We start from the raw sequence: 22,972 nt of genomic DNA, 5'->3' as shown, positions 1-22,972 counted from the left end.
TTATAACAGAATGATTTATATTCCTCTGGGTATATACCCAGTAATGGGATTGCTGGGTCGAATGGTAGTTCTGGCTTTAGATCTTTGAGGAACTGCCACATTTTCTTCCACAATGGCTGAACTACTTTACATTCCCACCAATAGGGTATAAGCACTTCTTTTTCTCCACAACCTCACTGGCATTTGTTATTTTTCGACTTTTTAATAATAGTCATTCTGACTGGTGTGCAATGATATCTCATTGTGGTTTTGATTAATTTTTCTTGAATGATCAGGGATATTGAGCTTCTTTTCATATGCTCATTGGTTGTCATGCATTTTCTTAAGTTAATATATGCACAAATGCAAGTCAATCATTTTATCCAGAGCCAGGCATATAGTAAGAGTTCTAGAAATGATACCTTTTATTATTGTTGTTGTTACTATTGTTTTTTATAATTAGTAAAATACATGGCTGCTATGGTTTGAATATGTCCCCCAAAGTTCATGTGTTAGAAGCTTGATCCCCAGTGTGGAGGTTTTTGGAGGTGGAAACTTTAAGAAGTGTTTAGGTCATGAAGGCACAACCCTCATAAATGGCTTAACACAATTATTGAGTAGTGGGTTTGTTATTACAGGAGCTGATTCCTTATACAAGGACAAGTTAAGCCCCATTCTCGTTCTCTCTCTCTCTTTTTGCCCTTCTCCCATAAGATGACACAGTAAGAAATCCCTTACCACATGCTGGCACCTTTATATTGGACTTCCCAGACTCCAGAATTGAGGAATAAATTTCTTTCTTTATAATTTTCCCAGTTTGTGGTATTTTGTTAGAGCAGCACAAAGCAGGCTAAGACAGGAAATTGGTATGGGAGGAGCAGGCTAGAAAAAGCCTAGATTGCCACAAATTTTGTATTAAGAGTGATTCCACTGAGGTCTCAGGCGAGGATAACTGTAGGGAAAGTCTGCAACTTCTTAGAGATTACTTTTATGGTCCTGATGAGAATGTTGGTAGACATATAGAGAGTAAACGCCATTCTGATGAGGTCTCAGGTGGAAAAGAGAAATGTCTTATTGGAAACTGGAGTAAGGATCATCCTTGTTATGAAGTGGCAAAAAAACTTGGCAGAATTCTGTTCATGCCCTTTGGCTTTATGGAAGGCAGAATTTAAGAGAGGTGAACTACGATATCTGATGGAAGAGACATCTCAGCAGCAAAACATTCAGTGGGCTCCATGGCTTCTTTCAAGCACATATAGTAAAATGTTGAGGAGAGAGAAATGATTTAAAGATGGAATTTATAATGAAAAGTGAAGACTAATAGAAAAATTTGGAGAACTCTCAGCCTGGCCATATAAAGAATAAAAAAGCATGTTCGAGAGAGAATAAGAAGGGTTTGGCCAAGTGGTCATTTGCTGAAAATATTAATCTGGCTAGAAGGAAGCCAAGTTCTATTCATAAGACAAAGGGAGAATGACCTGGAAGATATTTCCGAGATCATGGAGTTAGGACCAGAAGTTACGCAAGTTAGGACCTTAAGGTCAAAGCTTCCAGAGAGGTGCCTGAAAGACCTCAGCATTCACTGCCCTGTGCTGCCTCACAAAACCAGTCTGGGAGATCTATAGGCACAAAACTCCAACCTGTGAGAGCTGCTCAGGAGTGAACTGAGACAAGCAAAGCTGTGGAGGTGAGGCTGCCTGGGAAATTGGGGGCCCAATCCCTGACCCAGTGGGTCTAGAAGGTGGGACATGGAGTCAAAGATTATTCTCAACCCTTAGGATTTAATATGGTTTGCCCTGCTGGGTTTTGGACTTACTTAAGGCCAATTGCCCCTCTTTTCTTGCCTATTTTTCCCAGGAATGGAAATGTCTTTCATATGTCTGTCCCACCACTGAATTTCGGAAGTGGGTAACTTGTTTTGATTCCACAGGCTCATGGCTGGAGAATTTGCCTCAGGATGAATTGTGCCTTGAGTCTTATCCATATCTGACTTGGATGAGACTCTGGAGTTTGGATTTTTAAGTTGGTGCTAGAATGAGTTACAATGTGGGGGCTACTGGAAGGGAGGAAATGAATTTTGCATGTGTGAAGGACATACCTTTGGGGGCCCAGGGGTGAAATGCTATGATTTGAATGTGTCCCACAAAGTTCACTTGTTGGAGACCTGGAGGTATTGGGAGGTGGGACCTTTAAAAGGTGTTAGGTCGTGAGGGCATTACCCTCATGGATGGATCCATGCTGTTATCACAGGAGTGGGTTTATCACATGAGTTGGTTTCTTTTAAAAGTGTGAGTTTACTCTGTCTCTGTCTCCCTCTCTTTGACGTTCTGCCATGGGATGATGCAGCAAGAAGGCCTCTGCCAGAGGCTAACACATTGATATTGAACTTCCCATCCTCTCAAACTGTGAGAAATCAGTTTCTTTTCTTATAAATTACCCAGTTTGTGATAGTCTGTTACAGCAGTACAAACAAACTAAGATAATCCCTGAAGTTGTATATGATTTCTCCCTTAGATATTATTTGGTTTCTTCTCAACTAATTTCTTGGTTCATTTCTAAAATTATTCAGGTATTTCAAAAGAGATATAGTTGAACAAGTGGACATAAATAGCATATCGGTTAGTACCCTCACATTGGCAAGAACCATTCTAATTAGTACCAACATCCTTTACATTAACATACGAAGGGCAAGTTCTGGCAAACTAAAATCCTTTGCAGTTCAGTTCTTAGACTTATTAGATAAGAGAACATAAATGTTTTATACCTTGACTCCAGTAATGCTTCAGGTATAGATTCCCCTGGTACCTGTGGACAAAACAGAGAATAAGGGCTACAGTATGGTACAATCCACATTTGTAAATTTGTAAGTGGTCAAACCACTACTCTGCCCATTGAAAGACTATAAGGCATGCCACACATCCTCTTCCTCCTATTCTGAACAAGATTCTGACCAAGATTTTTCTCACATGCTTGGATGAAGAGACTTTTAGATTGAATTTTAATATTTACGATCTGTAAATTCTTCCTCTAGATCTTCCATAGCTAAAGATACAAATGGAAATTCATTAGGCAAAGAAAATGCAAAAAGAGTAACAATATCGGTCTGTGTTTGCATAATAGTGAAGGAGAAACTCTCTTGTTACCCATCACCCCACATGGAAAAGTACAGCCCATAGGTTTTGAAAAAGAAAAAATACTGAGTGACTGGACTAGGTAAAAGGAGCAGGGCTGGTCTTTGTGGAGAGAGGGGATGGCTGATATGATATTAGAGGTAGTTGCTTTAGACTGGAAGACAGTCTATAATTAAGATACCAAGCAGGAAAACTGAATATATCCAATGACACAGTCAGAGAACTTAATGTTCTTGAATAATACGTAAAATGAGAAAAAGAGTGTGATAATGGTTTAAATTTTTTAAAACTCTGGAATGTTTGATTATATTCAATATGTATTAATTATAAGCTAATTATATGGGCATAAAAGCTAAGGTATTTTCAGACTTAAACTGTTGATGGTATGAAGAAATGCAAAAGATGTTTGCAGATTTTTGCAGATTAAAAATTAGCTCAGCTAATTTTGCTAAGAATATTTGTGAATAGATGCAGAATTGTATCAAATTTTTTTCTGAATGTTTCTCCTTTAATCTGTTAATGTACTGAATTACATTAATTGGTTTTCTAATGCTTCATTATTGGGGTCTCATTGACTCTTTAATCCATGGTAGTTTGCTTTGTCATCAGTTGAGCTGCTCTTGCTAAGTTAACTAAGTAGTTCCTTGGTCCTCAATCTAGTAAGTGACTTTTCATTAATATCATGAAGTACTGATTACCCTCCTTGTAACACTCCTTGCTCTTAGTAGCTTTGAAATCCTAGTCTCTCGGTTTTCCTCTTCCTTCTGATGGCTTCTTAATTTTTCCTTTGGTTTCTTTATTGTCTAGTGTTCCTCAGGGCCCTTGGAGCGCCTCACCTCTAATAAAATCAAATATGTGTTGATGTTCTCCAAACCTCCCCATGTGGTCCAAATTTCTTTTCTGAGCTGCAGTCACAAATATCAAAGTGCCTACTCCAACCTTCCACTTCGATGACTTTACAGATACTCCAAAACGTTCAAAACAGAACTCATCTTCAAACTTTTCTTCTTTCTCCTACTTTTTGGCTTCTAAGCCTATTCTTCCTCCAGTGATTCCCTCAGATCACAGTACCACATGCATCCAGCAGTGAAAGGAGAGCCTAAATGCATTTCATTGCAGACTCCTCCTCCTTTTTCTAGCCTCCAAATCCATCACACAGACTATTGATTCTTTCCCTTAATTGTTTCTCATAGCCATATATTTCTTTCCATCTCTAGACACTAATTTGGCCGAAGCCATCATTCTCCTTCCTATGATATTGCTACATTTCTTCATTTTCATTCAGCCTTTGTCTCAGAAGCTCCCTCCTTTTTCTTTCTTTGTCTCTCTCTTCCTTTCCTCTTTCTCATTCTCTTCCTTCCCTCCCTCTTTTCTTTCTTTCCTTCCTTTCTTGCTTACTCTTTTTCTCCTCCTGTCTTACTATAATTTTAAATATCTGTCCTAAATGAAAATATTTTTGTTCATAGGAAATAACTTACCAGTAGTTCTTTATACAACATCATTCTTAAAATATACACTTTTAAATGTTAATTAATAGAATTTAATTGAGGAGTATGACAGCAACATTAAAAAGGTCCAAGTTTTAAAAATGATTTCATTCATTTTTTGGGTTAATTTTTGTCTGGCAACACTTGAACACTAATTTCTAGTAATAGAATATCTGTTTGCTGACCATAAACCAAGACACATAATCTGTAACTCTGAGTTCAATTATGGTGCATTGGGGGTTTTTGTCAAAATAATTGTTCCTAGAATGTAGAACAAATACTTTTGTTTCCTCTTTCCTTATTTCATCTAAAACAATTTTCTACCTGTCTATTAAGGCTAAATTGGTAGCAATATATCTCTTGCCAAAAAAAAAATAGAACATATATAAAACCAAGGTAAAGAGCAAAACCATGTTTAATTTTGAACAAGTTACTATAAGATACCTGAGGAACATTTAGACTGAAATATCAGTAGGACTTTAATTTCAAAAAAGTAGTTTGGGTTTCGGTATCTTTCGGATATTATTCAATGAGTTCAAAATATGACTTGAGTTTCCTCATGAAATTCTAAGTATTTTCCAGATCCAAAGCAAATGTCACCCCCCTTTTCTCCCCAACAGTAGTGTTTGTAGTTCCCTTTTCTGCTTTAATAGCACATTTTATTCTTGATTCTGTCTCATTGTTTTTTTCCTGTTTTCACTATTTTATAGACTTCTTAATGCTTTTTTTTGTGGTAAATATATTGCATTTGCATAAGATCAGAAACACAGCAGGCACTTATAAAATATATTCGTTGAATAATAACAAAATTATTAGATTATATCTGCAGCTTCCTCTGAAAAACAATAAAGATATTTGGATCCAAGTGGTGTAGTTTTTCAGGTGAGCAGAAATGTACAAATCAGAGAAAGGGGGGGAATCCAGTCTATATTTGCATATTAATATACTTGACTTTATCCTTTTAATCATTACCACAAGTGGAAAGTTTCAGCCCATGACAATGATAAATGGACACAGAAACTGTTTGGTTTAGAATTCAGCAGCTCTTTCAAAGAAATGAAAACACTCCCGTGAAGGTATGTGAGACTGCATCCCTTAGTAGATCTTTTGGGATTAAGATCAGAATTATAGTAAAAATAGGCAAAGACTTCCTTAAGTATATGAGACTCTATCCAACAGCAGAAGGTTCTGATCAAGACTGGAAGTGCAATAAAAGCAATGAAGATAAGTATCAGATATGAATGCTCTTCTGCAATGGTTTGATTGTAAATTTATTAATGATACAAAGTATTAAAAACTTGGATTTTTTTGTCTCTGGAGATGGCCACCGAATTGGACAAAATCTTTCTGATTCTGGCAATAGCAGAATTCATCATCAGCATGCTGGGGAATGTGTTCATTGGACTGGTAAACTGCTCTGAAGGGATCAAGAACCAAAAGGTCTTCTCAGCTGACTTCATCCTCACCTGCTTGGCTATCTCCACAATTGGACAACTGTTGGTGATACTGTTTGATTCATTTCTAGTGGGACTTGCTTCACATTTATATACCACATATAGACTAGGAAAAACTGTTATTATGCTTTGGCACATGACTAATCACTTGACAACCTGGCTTGCCACCTGCCTAAGCATTTTCTATTTCTTTAAGATAGCCCACTTCCCCCACTCCCTTTTCCTCTGGCTGAGGTGGAGGATGAACGGAATGATTGTTATGCTTCTTATATTGTCTTTGTTCTTACTGATTTTTGACAGTTTAGTGCTAGAAATATTTATTGATATCTCACTCAATATAATAGATAAAAGTAATCTGACTTTATATTTAGATGAAAGTAAAACTCTCTATGATAAACTCTCTATTTTAAAAACTCTTCTCAGCTTGACCAGTTTTATCCCCTTTTCTCTGTTCCTGACCTCCTTGCTTTTTTTATTTCTGTCCTTGGTGAGACATACTAGAAATTTGAAGCTCAGTTCCTTGGGCTCTAGAGACTCCAGCACAGAGGCCCATAGGAGGGCCATGAAAATGGTGATGTCTTTCCTTTTCCTCTTCATAGTTCATTTTTTTTCCTTACAAGTGGCCAATTGGATATTTTTTATGTTGTGGAACAACAAGTGCATAAAGTTTGTCATGTTAGCCTTAAATGCCTTTCCCTCGTGCCACTCATTTATTCTCATTCTGGGAAACAGCAAGCTGCAACAGACAGCTGTGAGGCTACTGTGGCATCTTAGGAACTATACAAAAACACCAAACCCTTTACCTTTGTAGACAGACTTTACAGAAGCTTTTCTAAGAGAATAACTCAACAAGGAGCATTTGGGGATCACTTCCACTGTTTTTTTTTTTTTTTTCTACTGGGTTTCTCTAAGTATTTTGGAACATAAATGAAATCCTACCAGGTTGCTTTTGATGGTAATTCACACATTGCCGGTCGATACCATTTTAAAAGTAATCATTTTTGTTTGGAGCATTGGCAAGCAATATTTTAACCTCACATATTATTTCAAAAAATCTAAATTATTTAATTTTATATGCAAACGATAGGTAATTGCAACTTGTGGAGAAAAAGGTGTGTGTCTTTAAAAGCAAGATAGATTACAAACTTGAATGGGTAAAAGATATATACAATGTGGATAGAAAATCTAATTAAAAACTAAAGTCACAGCAGGAAAAATATAGCCTCATAGCTTCAAAGCTAAACTTTTTTTTTTTTTTTTTTTTTTTTAATGGCATCTCACTCTGTCGCCCAGGCTGGAGTGCAGTGGTGTGATCTTGGCTCACTGCCACCTCCACCTCCTGGGTTCAAACAACTCTCCTATCTCAGTCTCCCGAGTAGCTGGGACTACAGGCACACACCACCACACATGGCTAATTTTTGTATTTTTAATAGAGATGGGGTTTCACCATATTGGTCAGGCTGTTCTCGAACTCCTGACCTCAGGTGATCCACCCGCCTTGGCCTCCCAAAGTGCTGGGATTACAGGCATGAGACACTGTGCCCAGCCCCAAGCATTTTTTTTAAATGAAAAAAAGTGGTTTTTTTTTGTTATTAGAAGTCTTGTTGATAACAAGGAAATACGACGATTATGTGAGAAAAGGAGAAGATTTGTAGTGTGAAATAAAATAAATTATCTTTAAATGGAAACTGGAAACACATGATTTAATGCTGATGTCAATTTAAAACCCCAAATAATAAACATTTTGATGTTTCTAGGCACATGCTAATTTTGCTAAATTCTAGGACATGCAATATGCATTTTCAGAGAGGCAGAAACCAATGTTTCTACCATGTTATGTAATAGAACTAAAATTATAGAAGTTTATGTCTTAATTCACAATTATACTCATATTGCTACTACAAAAAGATCATAATTACATTCTGAGGATGTTTGTGTTTGTGTTTGTTTATGTGACATGCATTTTGTTGCAATCTGATCACTGTATTTCTTAGAGGAAAAAATAGAAACAATGTTAACCAGCAAGGCACAGAAAGCAAAGTGATGTTGTTTATAGAATGTTGCAGGCTTATTGTAAATTTTAGACAAGCATATGTATACATAGTGCTGCTTTGACTGTGATAATCTAAGATTAGATAAGGTAACAAACTACAGATTGTAAATAAGGCTAAGGGTGGGAAAATTTACTAAAAATTTTGAATATGATGGCATAGATTAAAACACTGTACAGAAGCTGTATAGTGAAACTTTTTAATAACAAAGAATTCCTTTTAGAATTTACTTTTGATATGTTCTTTATATTGTGCTAGATTACAGAAACAAAAATGTGCTATTAAATACTGATAAATACATGCTTGTAAATTAATCTTGATGAAGCTATAGTTGAGGGCATGACTCCACAGCTGTGCCCTGGAGCCGGAAATGATGTTAGAATTATTAGTACTTCCCCCTCCCCATATGCATAAAATGAAATTGTAAGTACATCTGGGCTATATGGTATCATGTATCAATAACAATGATGTTGATGATTGTTTTAATGATAATACAACATCTTTTTTTAGTAATTTGCATTTTACAAAATAAAATGTACATATATTATTTTGATCACTAATTTAGTATTTTGTCAAAGATTATAATTATAATTTTCTTGCCTTGATAAAAGGTAATGTGCAAATCAAGCTGAATATATTTTAGACTTAGATACTGAGTTTATTTTAAAGATATTCTTTTATATAAATGACTTAACCTTGTATTCTTTAAAACACAAAATACTATTTATATTTTTGTGTCAGTAAACTTTTCTTTGATAAGCAGTTGATCCAACTCATAAGCAACCTTAGTGGTAAATTAATACATGTCTAATTAAGAGTAATACATGTCTAACACTTAGTAGGCAGCAACCCCAGGGAGATGGGACTACAAGGAACAGGACCCCATTCTTCACAATAGAAGCAAAACAAAAAAGTAGTAAGAGCAGCCCGGGACATATTCTGGTTATTGCAATTGATGTATTGTAATCCGTTTTTGTTTTTTGTTTTTTTTTTTGACACAGAGTCTTGCTCTGTCGTCCAGGCTGGAGTACAGTGGGGCGATCTCGGCTCATGGCAACCTCCACCTCCCGGGTTCAAGTGCTTCTCCTGCTTCAGCTTCCTGAGTAGCTGGGATTACAGGTGGTGTATGCCACCACGCCTGGCTAATTTTTGTATTTTTAGTAGAGATGGGGTTTCACCATGTTAGCCAGGCTGGTCTCGAACTCCTGACCTCAGGTGATCCACCCACCTTGGCCTCCCAAAGTATTGGGATTACAGGCATGAGCCACCGTGCCTGGCCAGTAATCTGCATATTTGAATGGCAAATGAGAGCAAGCTCTGCACCTCCACTTTCTCCCAAACAAGGCCTTTGTGGGAATTTAGCAGCCACCAAGCCACAATCCAAGAGCCATGCCCAACACATGCACTGACACATGCAACATGCAACATCCCATCAACAAGACTGATGGGATTATGACCTACCCTGGGACCCAGCTGTTGGGGAAAGAGGGAAATTATCACTCATTTTTATAGACTCCCACTCATCTCACTTGTCAAATAAATGCTCATTTCAAGATACTGGGTGTAATCATTGTGGTTATTTCAATGCATACAGTCAGGTAATTTATAGGACAGGAACAAATAACCTGTTTCTACTGCTGAAATTGGCTTATCTCCAACCCATAGCTCTAGTTCTGAAGGCAAATAAGACACAAATCAAGTATATCAAGGCATGTTTTCTTAAACTGTACTGAATGTAACATCAGGTAGAAACCCATACCAATACTGATTTCCAAGAAAAAGGAGCACCAATTTCCTCACTGTCTTGGGTGGTTTATCTGCTATGTCTTAGTAGGTGGCTTTTTCTAGCAAAATCTTCATTAGACAGCATCTTCTCTGAGCCAGATCATGCTTTAAGGGGTGTTTTTTTTTTTTTACAAAAAAACTTTTAGTTTCAGGGGTAAATGTGCAGGTTTGTTACACAAGTAAACTCATGTCATGGGAGTTTGTTGTACAGATTATTTCATCACCCAGGTATTAAGCCTATTACCCAATAGTTATTTTAGGGGGTGTTTGTATATTTGCACAGTCATTTTGCTTTCATTCTAGACACTGGATGATATTTTGTCTAGAGTAGGACATAGATTAATTATGTAGATTTAAAAAATTGTGATTATTAACTTGGACTTTGAATACAACTCATAGTATATGGGACTTGTGGTTTTTATACTTGTTATTGCATCTTTTATTTTTAGTTTCTTCAGCGTAACTACAAACTTAGATGTTCTTTAATCACTATCTCCTGACTGACTTGTTTTCGGTGTTTTTCACAGCTAAACCATGCCTATCAATGGAATCTTCTTCTCAATTAGCCTTTACATGACTTGCAGAGCATTTCTGAAAACATTAGTGATCTCTAGGGCTATCTTGCTTCTTGGGTCATGAAATCTAGTTTTCTAGCCATCTTCAACAGAAGTAGTTCCTTTTCATGAAGAAAAGTACCAAGCCTCCCCCATCTTGGGTGGCAGACCATGTTCCTTTTGATTCTGTATGATTTCTTGATTGAACTAGAAAGATTACAGAGCAGTGTTGGGTTTTTCAGGATTAGAACAGAAATCTTTCATAAGCTCATACATGAATGTAACATTTTCTGTAAGGAGGTACTTTCTTTTCTTGCTCTGATACTTGTTTCACAGTCAAGCCTAATTCATTTTCTCCTTTTGTGTGCTGCTAGTGGGACTGCCAACTAAGTTAGCACTAATTCATTTAACAAATAGTTATGGAAGACCTGCTATTATCCATGCCCTTTATGTTCTGTGAATTGGAAACAGACTAATGAACAACAACAAAAAAGTCGCTTATGTGGTTGTTAAGAGAGTTGGTGGCCAGTTTGCCAGTCAGCGTCAAAATTGGCTGAATGAGAAACACATTGTTAGAGAACAAGGCAGGCAAAATCCTGTCCTGTCCTTGCAGAATCATAGATTTGCAGCTTTTGGGTAGAAATATTTTTGCCTGGGTTTGGGAGTCACTGTAAGACATACATCAAGAGCCTCTCAGTGAGTGCCAGCAATGTACTCCAGACCAATTAGGTAAAAAAAATCCCTGGGAGTGGCCCACAGGCATCAATATGTTTTTTTAAATCTCCCAAGTTAACTCCAATGTGCAGTCAAGTTTGAAAAACATTGTATTAGAGTTACAAAATAATACAAATAAATTATAAAATGTATTTTACTGTGGATACATTTTTATGAGACAAAGAATTTTACCAAAGGAAGAATTAATGAAAAGGAGAATCTCCCTCCTATTCTCCCTCTTATGTTTTTTTGCTATTTTTCCATCCTTTTTTACTATTTTTTTTTCATTTCAGTTGATAAGAGCTTATTCAAAATCAAATAGCCAGGAAGGCATTGGAAACCAAGCTCAAAAGTTCAGTAAAATAGCTCAGATAAAGGAATACTTTTTGTTTCTTTACATATGCTTTTACATAATTATGTAAAATCATCTCCCTTTTTGTCTATTTCTTTAAGAAATCCTAAAAGCTTCAAGACCCAAGCCAACTGTCATTATCTTCATGAAACTAGAATTAGTTATTGGCCATAGATTTTATAACACCCTCCTCTGTGTTGTAATTGCATTTTGATCAAACTGTGGTTACATTCAGTAGTAAAAGCACATTTAATGTTGCTTCTTTTCACTACTCTGTGAGCTTTTTGATGCTTCTTTTTATTACACTTAATTCCTCTAAAGTAGAATTGGAAAATTATGGAGTTTATTTAATGAAACTAATGAGTAATACATATATTGTAGAGGTTATTTTTAGATAATTCTTTTAAAATTAAGATATTCAAATCCAAATGGTATTGACTTTCAGTTGAGGAGAAAATTACAAATCAGTGTAAAGAAATCTGTTTGATATTTGCATACCTGACTTTGCCCTTCTAGATGTCCTCACAAGTGGGAAATTGCTCTCAGTGCCAATGATGAGTGGGCACATTTACTACATTTACTATTTAATTTGTAAGTCAGTAGCTGATTAAAAATAATGTTAAAGTTTTTTTTAAATTAAGATATGTGAGACTGGATCTTCTTGCACATATTTCAGGCCTACTAGTGAGATGAATATAAAAAAAAACAGAAAGATCTTTTGTGAAGATAAGTGAGGTGGCATCAAACAGAAGATCATTCTGAGTTACTCTGAACATTTTAAATATAAATCTGAAAATCATCAAGTTGGATATTATTCTGCAACGTTTTGACAGCAAAAGTATCAGTGAAACATAGTATTAGCTTTCTGGATTTGTTTCTCCAGAAATGCCACCTGGAATTGGAAATACCTTTCTGATAGTAATGATGGGAGAATTCATAATCTGAATGTTAGGGAATGGGTTCATTGTACTAGTTAACTGCATTGACTGGTGAGGAGTCAAATGATCTTATTAGACAACTGCATCCTCACCAGCCTGGCTATCTCCACAATCAGTCAACTTTGGATAATACTACTTGATTCATTTGTAACAGCATTATGGCCACATCTATATGCCTTCAATAAACTAATAAAATTTATTCATATTTTTTGGGCACTGACCAATCACTTAGTTACCTGGCTTGCTGCCTTAGTGTTTTCTACTTCTTTAAAATACCTATTTTTCCCACCCATGCTTCATCTGGCTGAGATGGAGAATTAGCAGAACGCTACTTGAACTCCCACTGGGGTCCTTGCTCTTACTGTTTTTCAACCTTGCATTAACAGGTGGACTTAGTGACTTGTGGATTAACATCTACACAATTTATGAAAGAAACTCAACTTGGTCTTTAGATGTAAGTAAAATTCTATATTGTAGCCTCTGGATTCTTGTCAGTTTGATCTACTTAATTTCCTTTCTTCTGTCCCTGATCTCACTGCTCCTTTTAATTCTGTCCTTGATGAGACATATCAGGAATTTGCAGCTCAACACCATGGGCCCGAGGGACCTCAGAATGAAGGCCCATAAGAGGGCCATGAAAATGAAAATGAAAATGATGGTGTCTTTTCTCCTCTTCTTTTTGGTTCACTTTTCTTCTCTCCTACCAACAGGTTGGATTTTCCTTATACAGCAGAAATAGCAGGCCAATTTTTTTGTCTTGTTAACGTCAATTATTTTTCCTTCAAGCCACTCATTTGTCCTAATTTTGGAAAACTGCAAGCTGAGACAGACTGCTGTGGGACCACTGTGGCATCTTAAGTGCCACCTAAAAAGAGTGAAACTTTAGTTTTGTAGACTTTTCTGGATTTTTCTGTATTCCAGGGGAATTAATGAGAACACATTGAAGATGTATTTTAGCATGTGTTTTTCACCCAGATTATTTTAAGGTGTAATTAAGCATCACAAAATTTCCCTAGAATGGCCTATAAATGAACGATTTACTCATAAAGTCAGCCAATGTAATACCGGATTTTTTTTAAAAAGTAAGTATCATTGTCATTTTAATATTTGCTAGTAACTAGGAAATATTTGAGACTTAATATAAATGTAAAATATATAATGCAACATGTATTTATTTTATATGTGCTGGCAAATGTGTGATTACATTCACATGTGAGGAAAAAAAACAGTAATATTTGGAAATGGTTCTAAATGCCATTAGAACCTAATACCTACTCCAATCTGGAGTAGGTGGCATATTTTTATAACACTAAGTCAAATACATTAAGAACTAAAAATATTGAAAGCATATAATCTCATAGCAATAGAGGTAACTTTTAAAACAAAATAGCATTCTCTCATTAGGACTCCAGCTAGGAATTCAAGCTATCCTACCTTTGTAGGATAAGTGCAAAATCAATTGAATTTCTAAAAAGAAGTTGAATACTTATCCCTATGTCCATAATGATGCTTATATTTTTACTTTTTTGGATCAAAACCACACTTTGACACAGGATCTCTGTGTGTGTGCACATGTGTAATGACATATTTTTGTCATACCATGAATACTAGTGTGTCACACCAGAGAAAACTAACACAACCAACTAACTCACTAAGAATAAGAACATAAAGGAAAATTTATAAGAGAATGTCACATATTTGCATAAATTTTAGGCATGTTTGTATTTGTGTATAGTTCTAGGTTGACTTTTACAAAAAAATAAAGTAACTGAAAATGTATATAATATATAATCTTAAGGCCAGTCCAGGCCTATACAGACATTTAGATTTTTAAAACTCCATTCATTGTTAGATACTGTATAATAAATTTCCTAATGATTATCATGGGCATTATCTTGCTTTAGAAAGGGCAACATTAAAATCACACTGGCTATATTTAGGTTCAGATAGTGAGGATAATATGGTTTGGAATTACTCCTTTCAGTAAATAAGTTAAATTCCCTTCCCTCCCCTCTCCTCCCACCCCTTCCCTTGACCCTCCCCATCCCCACTCCCTCCCCTCCCTCTCCCCTCCCCCTTCCCTTCCCTCCCCTTCCCTTCCCTTCTTTACTTTTTGGGATGGAGTTTTGCTCTTGTTGCCCAGGCTGGAGTGCAATGGCGCAATCTTGGCTCACTGCAACCTCTGCTTCCTGGGTTCAAGCAATTCTCCTGCCTTAGCCTCCCAAGTAGCTGGGATTATAGGCATGCGCCAGCATGCCTGGCTAATTTTTTTGTATTTTTAGTAGAGACAGGGTTTCTCCATTTTGGTCAGGCTGGTCTTGAACTCCCGACCTCAGGTGACCTGCCCGCCTTGGCCTCCCAAAGTGCTGAGATTATAGGGGTGAGCCACTGCGTCCAGACTAAACTTTTCTTTAATGATCAAGATTCAAAAGATTTAAACAACCATACACAACCCTTGCTTCTAGTGAGTGGGACTTAGAAGTAAATGTCTCATTAGGATTAAGTCTTCACATCTCACGTACTATCCTTGCAGAGATGAAGCCATATGGAGCAGAGACCTATTCCAGATAATAAAAGCACAGAAAATGACTATTAAATGATGAAGGCTGGGAGAAAGTGTGGGACTGTTGCTACCACTGTATTGCAGTCTCCCTATTACAATGGCATTTTGAGATTAAGCTCTGCACCATCATTTTCCATAATGAAAGCTTGGGTTGGAGATGCAAGCCACGATCCAAGAAAACCACGACTCTTACATCCAAAGCTAGTTTCAGGCAATCTGGAGAGAACTGTATCCTATCCTGGGAACAAATAATTGGGAAAAGAAAATGATCGACATTTTTTTTTTTTTTTTTTTGCCAATTGCTTTCCCCTAAAGTAAGTTTATAGTCTTGATGTCATGAGAGTTTTTGAGTTTCCCGCCCCTGCCCTCCCCCCAACCCAGTTTGGTCACACAGTTGATTTATAGAAGAGTTGCCAATAACCTGAATAACCTGTTTCTAATGCCAAAAACGGCTGATGCCTGAGCCCTGCCTTAGGCCTAGAACTTAAGATGAGAAGATATTTTGGGTGCGCAAGCCATGTTGTCCTTAGCTTTACTCAAAGAAAACATCCTAGTGAAAATATGCATGGATCAATACATATTTCAGAGGGCGTGATTGTCTCTGTTGAATCTCTGATAGTTCACATGGTTTGCTGCTGCCCTTAATCTCATGTCCTTTGAGCTAGAGACTTCCTTAATTAAAATACAGAAACAAGGAGGCCATCTGCAAATCCATACTTCCAGTGCACTCATCTGTTACATTGCTTAATGCTGTGTACAAGACCTAGGCCCTGAGCTAGATTATTGCCAAGAATAAATCTTCATTTAGAAAACTGATCAGATGGTTGGCTTGATAAATTCAGAAAAATGTTAGGCAATATTTTTTTGGGAAGGTTATTTGTAGAAGAAATCCCAGGTGACAGATAAACTATTTTCAATTTTAGCTATTTTGAGGGGCACCAATGTAGATGCAGCTTCAGAAGACAAAGGCATTATCCTGACTTGTATATTGCCACCTCTATTCCTTAGCCCCATGTTTAATAAATGAATCAGTTCTGGAAATAAGTTAGCTTCCCTTTTATATAGATATAACCTGGCCCCTGAACTTTGAAGCTTCTATTATTTTCCTTTTAGACTTCAGTTTGAGATACTTTCACAGTTTTCAAAAACCAATTAAAAAGTGAAAATGATCTCTTGAACAACAGTTCTTTTTTTAAGCATCTCGTATTTTTGGCTTTTTGTTTTTTTGAGACAGGGTCTTGCTCTGCAGCCCTGGCTGGAGTGCAGTGGCATGATCACAGCTGTTTTCTTTTTTTTTTTAATCTGCTGAACATAATCTCTAATTCTCTGCCAATGATCTTAGTTACAGTATTTCATTATTTGGTGGTGTGATTTTTTTCTCCCTCTTTTTGGCTGATGAAAAGTTGTACCCAACTTCCCTCACTAATAATATGAATGATCTCCATTTCTCTTTATTGTTCATTGATGCATGCCACTATTTTACAGTGGCTAAGTCCATATGCTTGGTGTTGAAAGCCATGGAGATGGTGAAGATTTTGTAATGTTCATTGCAGATCCCTAATCAGGATAGAAACTGGCAGGGATGTCCTGCAATTAAGCTACTAAGACTTCCATAGTTTCTTCATTTGTAGTAGGCTTTTGGGAAGGTCCTTGGGCCTTTTAGTTGTCCCAAGAGCACTGCTGAAATTTGTATTTGTGGAGAGTAGGGGTAAGGGGAGGTTTACTTATATTTTGAAAAGATCTCATGACTTGACCTGGTGGTAATCCTGCTGAGCAAATCCTATTAAGTCTAGTTTGTTCAGGCTGCTATAAAAAATACCATAAAATGGGTGCTTATGAACAACAGAAATTTATTTCTTATAGTTCTAGAAGCTGGGAAGTCCAAGATCCAGGCATTCACAAATTTGGTATCTGGTGAGGGTTCATTTCCTTGTTCATAGATGACTTTTCCCTATAACCTTACATGGCAAAAGGGGTAAGGGAATTATTTTGGGGTCTCCTTTATAAAGGCACTAATCCCATTCACGAGGGTTTCATCTTTATGACCTGATCACCTCCCAAAGGTCCCATCTCCTGAGATCATCACTTTGGGGGTTAAATGCCAACATGTGAATTTTTGGGGGGCACATTCAGACCATAGTACAAGTGTTAAAACTGCAAGAAGAATCCCCACACTCAAGGTAACCCAAGTAATAGACTAATATGAATCAATCCAACCCAATTGTTGGGAATTCTCATAGTTCTTGCAGAGGTTCTTTTCTTGGTTCATTTTCTTGGAACTTCCCAAGTCGTCTTTAGACTACTTTCCATGCTCAAACTTCCAAGTATTAGGATATTCCTTTCCCTCATCTTTTGTCCCTATATTCCTCAACTTTCATCCTACCCCTTTATGCTTCTGCATGTAACTTTATTTTCTTCTTGACGCTATCAAAAGCTATTGATGTCCTGCCAGAAAGATCTCCCATTAAAAGCAAACTGCAAGATTTTCTAACAAAATTTAGTTAGGGATCCTCAGGACAGGAACAGACATGGCTTCAAAATTTAACATTGTCTGATCTCTACTCTGGGTAGCACAGGAAAGTGTTTCCCTTCCATTCTGAGGACAACGTTCTTTCCTCTCTCTCCCTTTGCTCCCATATCCCTCAATCCCACCAACCCTCTAATAAAATAAGCCAATAGGTTTAAGGCTGCAGAGAGTATAAAATACTTGAACTTACATATCAAATCATGTTAAATATTTATATTTTAGTATGAAAGACCCTCAATAGTTATGTTAAAAAAAATAACTATTACCCAGGTAATATTTCTGTCCAGAAATTTGAGAAACAGAATTATTTGTAATTATCTACACATTTAAGAAAATTGAACTCCTTATGAAATATAACTTTAGGAATTACTGGAGATTCATTTGAGGTCTGGTTGGTTATCATGACCTTAGGAATTTACTTAACCTCTCTAAATCCCGGTTTGCTTCTCTGAAAAATGATAAAAATGTTTTCCTCACAGGGTATATGTGAGAATTACGGAGCTCATGTATATAAATAGTTTTTCATAGTTCCTGGTATTAAAAACTCAATATATTTTAAAAATGATGCTGATGGTAATGATATGCTATTTGTCAAGTAATCACATGTATTTTTACCCAGAATTAAAAAAAAAAAAACAACTTTTCCCCTATCCCTTAGGTTACATATGTTGCTATGTTCACTGTTTTCCTTTTATAGTTAAAATAAGCTGTAACGCATCGTTTCCCATTTTTTTTTTTGCCAGCTACATTTCTTATCTCTATTGATAATAACTATACCACCTATGTCTCTGCTTTTTCATGCTTGAGGGATCTCTGGATCAATCAACGTGCATGATGGCCTGAAAAAGCCCAATTTATGGGCAATAAAGTGAATCATCTTATTATCAGGAACGAATATATGTTTCCTTTATTGACTGCTGACTATGTAGAGCATACCAACAAAATTGCCATTCATCTATCCATTCAACAATATTTATTAGCTATTCCGCACTGGGCAGTGCTCTAGGCTTGGGGATAGAACAGTGAACAAACAAAATCCTTAGCCTAATGGATATTACCTGGAAGTGTGCCAGGAAGAATAAACTCACTTGTGAATTACAACAATAAGTGGTTTATTCAGGTCAAAATCTTGTTTTGTCTCCTGGGAATTTCACTGAATTGCATCATGTAGGAGGCAAACTATACCCCAAGAATTAAGAGCAATTGTGAATAAATGATAAACCACAGAGTTTACATTTACCTCCTAATACATTTAACTCCTAATATATATATATACATATATTACGAGGTAAATGTAAGCTGTAACTTTATGCATATATTGTAAGTAGTAACTATACATATATACTTATATACTGTATACATATATAGTAAGTAGTAACTATACATATATACATATATAGTTACTACTTAAATTTATATATGTGTATGTATATATATATGTATATATACAGTACACACACATACTGTTACTACCGGGTGTAAAATTGAATAGGATATAGTGTCTTCCCTCACAGAGCTGCCAATTATGTTGGAGGATGTAATAAATACAAAGTCTGTTTCTTCATCTTCGGTTTAACAAATGACTGATGTGAGGAAAAAAGTTATAGGAATATGTTCACATAGTCACCCAAATGGAGCATCCTACTCTGTCACCATTTCAGGATTAAGACTAGACAGTCTTTTGTGTTACAAATTGGGACATCAGTGCTCTGGGAAACAGTGATGTCCACGATTCTAAATCCCTTGGTATTACTATTTCATTGATTAAACTACACTTCTGATATTTTAGACTAAAATGTTTTGGCTTATCGCAGTCTAGGAAACCTGTCTTGGGTATATAAAACAGACAGTTGATGCACGATTAGGGAAAAATAAGGCAACCTATGAAAATGGCCTTATGGATTAAAAGAAGTGAGCTCCTATATGGTCAGTGGAATCCAGGAAAAATTTAATGGAAAAAGCGCCACCTAAGCTTAGCTTTAAAACACAGAGTATCTTCAGGTAGAAAAGGCTATAGGAGAATGTGCCCAAATGGAGTTTGGCTGGAGACAAAGAATAAAGACTAGAAAGAACAATTACCCTAGGCCAGACATGGTGTTGGACGGGGCAAGATGCTTACTACTTAAAGCCATAGAACACTGTTTGCTGGACACAATGAGTGGAATATAGAACAATGCAACTATTTTAACACTTTACCCCTCTTAGTGGTTTATTAGTTAATTTTTTCCTGAAAAAAAAAATGCGTATACTACTTTTTCTGCACTTTTCTATATCAGATCTTGATTTAAAACTTTACCACTCTTGGTGATTTATTATTAGTTTTTTTAATCCGAAGAAAACATGTGTATACTCCTTTTTCTGCATTTTTCTATATCAGATCTTGATTGGCTCACCACCATTACACACACACACATCTCTTTTCTCCCATCCTCCCAGCGTTATAGAATCATTTGTTGTAAAATCAGTATTCAGTATTTACATAATTATGACTGACTTTACATGACTACTATTATTCACAGTTGAGGTATACCGTGTATACAGTGTAGTTTTTAAATTTTTATTTTTCTCAGCGTTCAAAATTATATGTTCTGTTTTCTTAATTTTGAAAAATATGCATTCACTAATTTATCCCCACACTCTTTGGAAAATGAAAGCTCTCTAGGCTGTATTCAAATACACCAGGTACTCTATCAATTTTCATTTTTTAAACTATTCTACCTGAGCTCTCCATCTTTAGCCATTTCCTGTTGACTTCATACTGTTCTCCCCTACCACTCTCCCTCTTTAATATATTACCGTTTTAGAAACTTTATGGCTACCCTGTAAGTAATAAAAATGTCTTTCCCCACTCAACAACAGACAGTACCTTTCAAGTTTCCACTTTATAAGGACATAACCCCCATTCCATTTACTTCCCCCGCCCTCCTTCAACATTCCCACTTGTATTTTCCGGCTGTATTTTTAAAACATGGTAAATAACATTTGCACTCCACTTTGTAACCATAATTAAGTATGCCCTTAAACAATAAAAACCATAAACAACATTTGTATTTTACGATTATTTAAATGTTATTCACTGAACAGCCAAGCTTTGTGCTACTATGGGATTTCGTTTTCTGCGGTTCCAAGTCTTGATCCACGTCCTGCCACAGGATCACTGAAGTAGAGCCCATTTTCTTACACTCTCGCCATTAGTTCAAAAGCTTGCAGCATTTTATGTCTGGTACTTGGAGGATGATTTTCCTGTACAGTTTTGCGTTTTTTTCACCGAAAATTTCTGATTATTATTGTTTTCTCTTGTGGGATGAAATATGTACCTTCTATATCACAGCCTTAATACCTTCAGCTTCTTATTCATTGAAATCTTGCTTACAATCCAGTCCGAGGATTCCCGGTTTACTGATTTTCTTTTTCCTGCAAATTTTAGCCTTCTGTTTTGTTTTGAAATAATGCATCCTCTGCGCTTTGTCACATTCTGAAATTCGTCAGGTGTTTTAGGATGCACACTTTCTTAGATGTTTTCGAGGGTCTTAACTGCAGTTCTGTTTCCGGAACAGCGTATTCTCTTTCTAGGGATTGTAGGCTCCCGGCCGCCCCCTGAGGAGCTCCGCTAGCAGCTAAGAGGGCAGCCACGAAGAGCGCCTGAGCACTCTCGCGAGACTGTGGGGCTCGCCATTGGCTGCTCCGCCGCGCCGCAACGGACCCTGGGAGTCGGCCATCATGCTGGCCCCGGAGGCCGTTAGCTTAGTCATGGCTCTAAATATGTACCTGCAATCGGATGTTGAGGATCACCGAGCCCGCGACGTAGAAGTACGGGAAGTTCATGCGCAGCTGCCAGGCCAGCTCGAAGAAGGCGAGCAGGGTGCGGGAGAGCCCCTTGCAGAAGACGCCGTACGAGGTGGGTGTCGCGGCGGGGCTTGAGGCCCTGACGGCCAAGGAGGACGGAGCCGCCGCGGGGGCCATGAGCCAGGTGTCGCCGCCCGCCCAGCGTCTGTAGCGAGGGTTGCCGCAGGGCCCGCGGACCTCCTAGCGACGGCTGGGACCGGCAGGACGGTAAGCAAAGCGGCTCCCGGGCTCACACCCAAGCTTGCCGCTGCCGCCGCTCGGTGCAGTGCGGCGCGTAGCCCCGGGCGCCGCTGGCGCTCCGCCCCTTCCTGTCTGCTTCTCACTGTGGCATTTACCATTTAGAGCTCAACTGATGGTAGGTGGCTCTGGAATAGGATGTGTTATATAGCATGTACGAACATCCATGCAGATAGTTCCACTTTAAAATGAAAAAATCTAAGCGAGATGTAACTTGCCGTAGGGCACAAAATTTGTAAGGGCCAAAGCTAGATTAAAACTTTAGTTTGTCTGCTGTGTTATGTGGGATGTTAGGAATCTTACCCTTTTGATTTCATAATATTAATATTAGGGCAAGATGATTCCTACGCCAATAAAAGCACAAGGTCTCTGTATTCATAATATACCATAGACATAAAAAGGATCACAATCTTAGTCTTTGGATTTTTCTATTTATTAGGAATATTTAAATTGCAAGTGACAGGAATGATAAACATTCAAGCAAAAAACTAGTGGACACACACGCGTATATACATAAGGACATACATACAAAATTATATTCCCAGCCATGTAAACCCTTAAAAAGTTCAGATTAGCTGTGGAAGCTTCAGCCATTTCTGCATGGAGATGCATCTGTGAAACCTGTGGCTAGGCTCCAAGAGCTGGAATACTACTCTGTACTTCCAAACTCTTTTTTTGTTGTTGTTTTTGAGACGGGAGTCTCGCTCTGTCGCCCAGGCTGGAGTGCAGTGGCGCGATCTCGGCTCACTGCAAGCTCCGCCTCCCGGGTTCACGCCATTCTCCTGCCTCAGCCTCCTGAGTAGCTGGGACTACAGGCGCCCGCCACCATGCCCGGCTAATTTTTTGTATTTTTTGGTAGAGATGGGGTTTCACCGTGTTAGCCAGGATGGTCTCGATCTCCTGACCTCGTGATCTGCCCGCCTCAGCCTCCCAAAGTGCTGGGATTACAGGCGTGAGCCACAGCGCCCGGCCTGTACTTCCAAACTCTTAATACCATTAGAGTAACAGCACAGTGAATCTCTAATAGCCACAATACTTTTGTTATTTAAATGGTGCACATTTCATTACCTTCACTTATCTCCCATTTTAACTAGAAAGCACTGTATTTTTTAATCGCACACACCGTCTTCATTCATGGATTATTCAAATGTGTGATTTCTGATCATGACCTTAAGGTTACAGTCTTGTTCTGAAAAGCATTGTTGAGATACCACACATCGCACCGTGCACTGCATGTCTAGCAGCTATTCAGAGCACAAGTACGGTACCCTAGAGTACCTCTGTTTCTATATAGTCTACTGATTATATGACTGGTAGAAATAACGTGCCACTGATAAATTTGTAAAAATTAATT

General features: G+C 37.4%; 4 protein-coding genes, 2 long non-coding RNA genes and 1 pseudogene across 8 annotated transcripts in view; 5 read left to right on the top strand and 2 right to left on the bottom strand.

Moving 5' to 3' along the window:
- Positions 1 to 3,503, bottom strand: part of LOC107987435 (uncharacterized) — a 96,284-nt gene extending 92,781 nt beyond the window's left edge. The window contains exon 1 of the long non-coding RNA XR_007063209.1: positions 2,744 to 3,503. This is a non-coding gene — a long non-coding RNA (uncharacterized LOC107987435). The remainder of the gene's footprint in view (positions 1 to 2,743) is intronic.
- A 2,414-nt stretch (positions 3,504 to 5,917) lies between these two features.
- On the top strand, positions 5,918 to 6,862 carry TAS2R42 (taste 2 receptor member 42). Its single transcript, NM_181429.2, has one exon. It carries the CDS (start codon positions 5,918 to 5,920, stop codon positions 6,860 to 6,862), a length of 945 nt encoding a protein of 314 aa, NP_852094.2.
- On the top strand, positions 12,393 to 13,314 carry TAS2R67P (taste 2 receptor member 67, pseudogene; annotated as a pseudogene).
- Positions 16,839 to 21,661, bottom strand: SMIM10L1 (small integral membrane protein 10 like 1). Its single transcript, NM_001271592.2, has one exon. The coding sequence runs from the start codon at positions 21,496 to 21,498 to the stop codon at positions 21,292 to 21,294; it is 207 nt and encodes a 68-aa protein (NP_001258521.1). The 5' UTR covers positions 21,499 to 21,661; the 3' UTR covers positions 16,839 to 21,291.
- PRH1-PRR4 (PRH1-PRR4 readthrough) overlaps positions 21,230 to 22,972 on the top strand; it is a 325,777-nt gene continuing 324,034 nt past the window's right edge. Inside the window, exon 1 of the long non-coding RNA NR_037918.2 lies at positions 21,230 to 21,433. This is a non-coding gene — a long non-coding RNA (PRH1-PRR4 readthrough). The remainder of the gene's footprint in view (positions 21,434 to 22,972) is intronic.
- The window catches only part of PRH1 (proline rich protein HaeIII subfamily 1), a 290,647-nt gene continuing 288,918 nt past the window's right edge, over positions 21,244 to 22,972 (top strand). For all 3 annotated transcript variants that reach the window (NR_133575.2, NM_001291315.2, NM_001291314.2), the window contains exon 1: positions 21,244 to 21,433. The gene's annotated coding sequence lies outside the window, so the exon portion shown is untranslated. The remainder of the gene's footprint in view (positions 21,434 to 22,972) is intronic.
- PRH1-TAS2R14 (PRH1-TAS2R14 readthrough) overlaps positions 21,244 to 22,972 on the top strand; it is a 234,202-nt gene continuing 232,473 nt past the window's right edge. Inside the window, exon 1 of the mRNA NM_001316893.2 lies at positions 21,244 to 21,433. The gene's annotated coding sequence lies outside the window, so the exon portion shown is untranslated. The remainder of the gene's footprint in view (positions 21,434 to 22,972) is intronic.

Source organism: Homo sapiens, chromosome 12 (assembly GCF_000001405.40).
Source record: "Homo sapiens chromosome 12, GRCh38.p14 Primary Assembly".
NCBI classification, from domain to species: domain Eukaryota; kingdom Metazoa; phylum Chordata; class Mammalia; order Primates; family Hominidae; genus Homo; species Homo sapiens.
The sequence above is the reverse complement of the archived record's forward strand: the minus strand, read 5'-3'. Positions and strand labels throughout refer to the sequence as shown.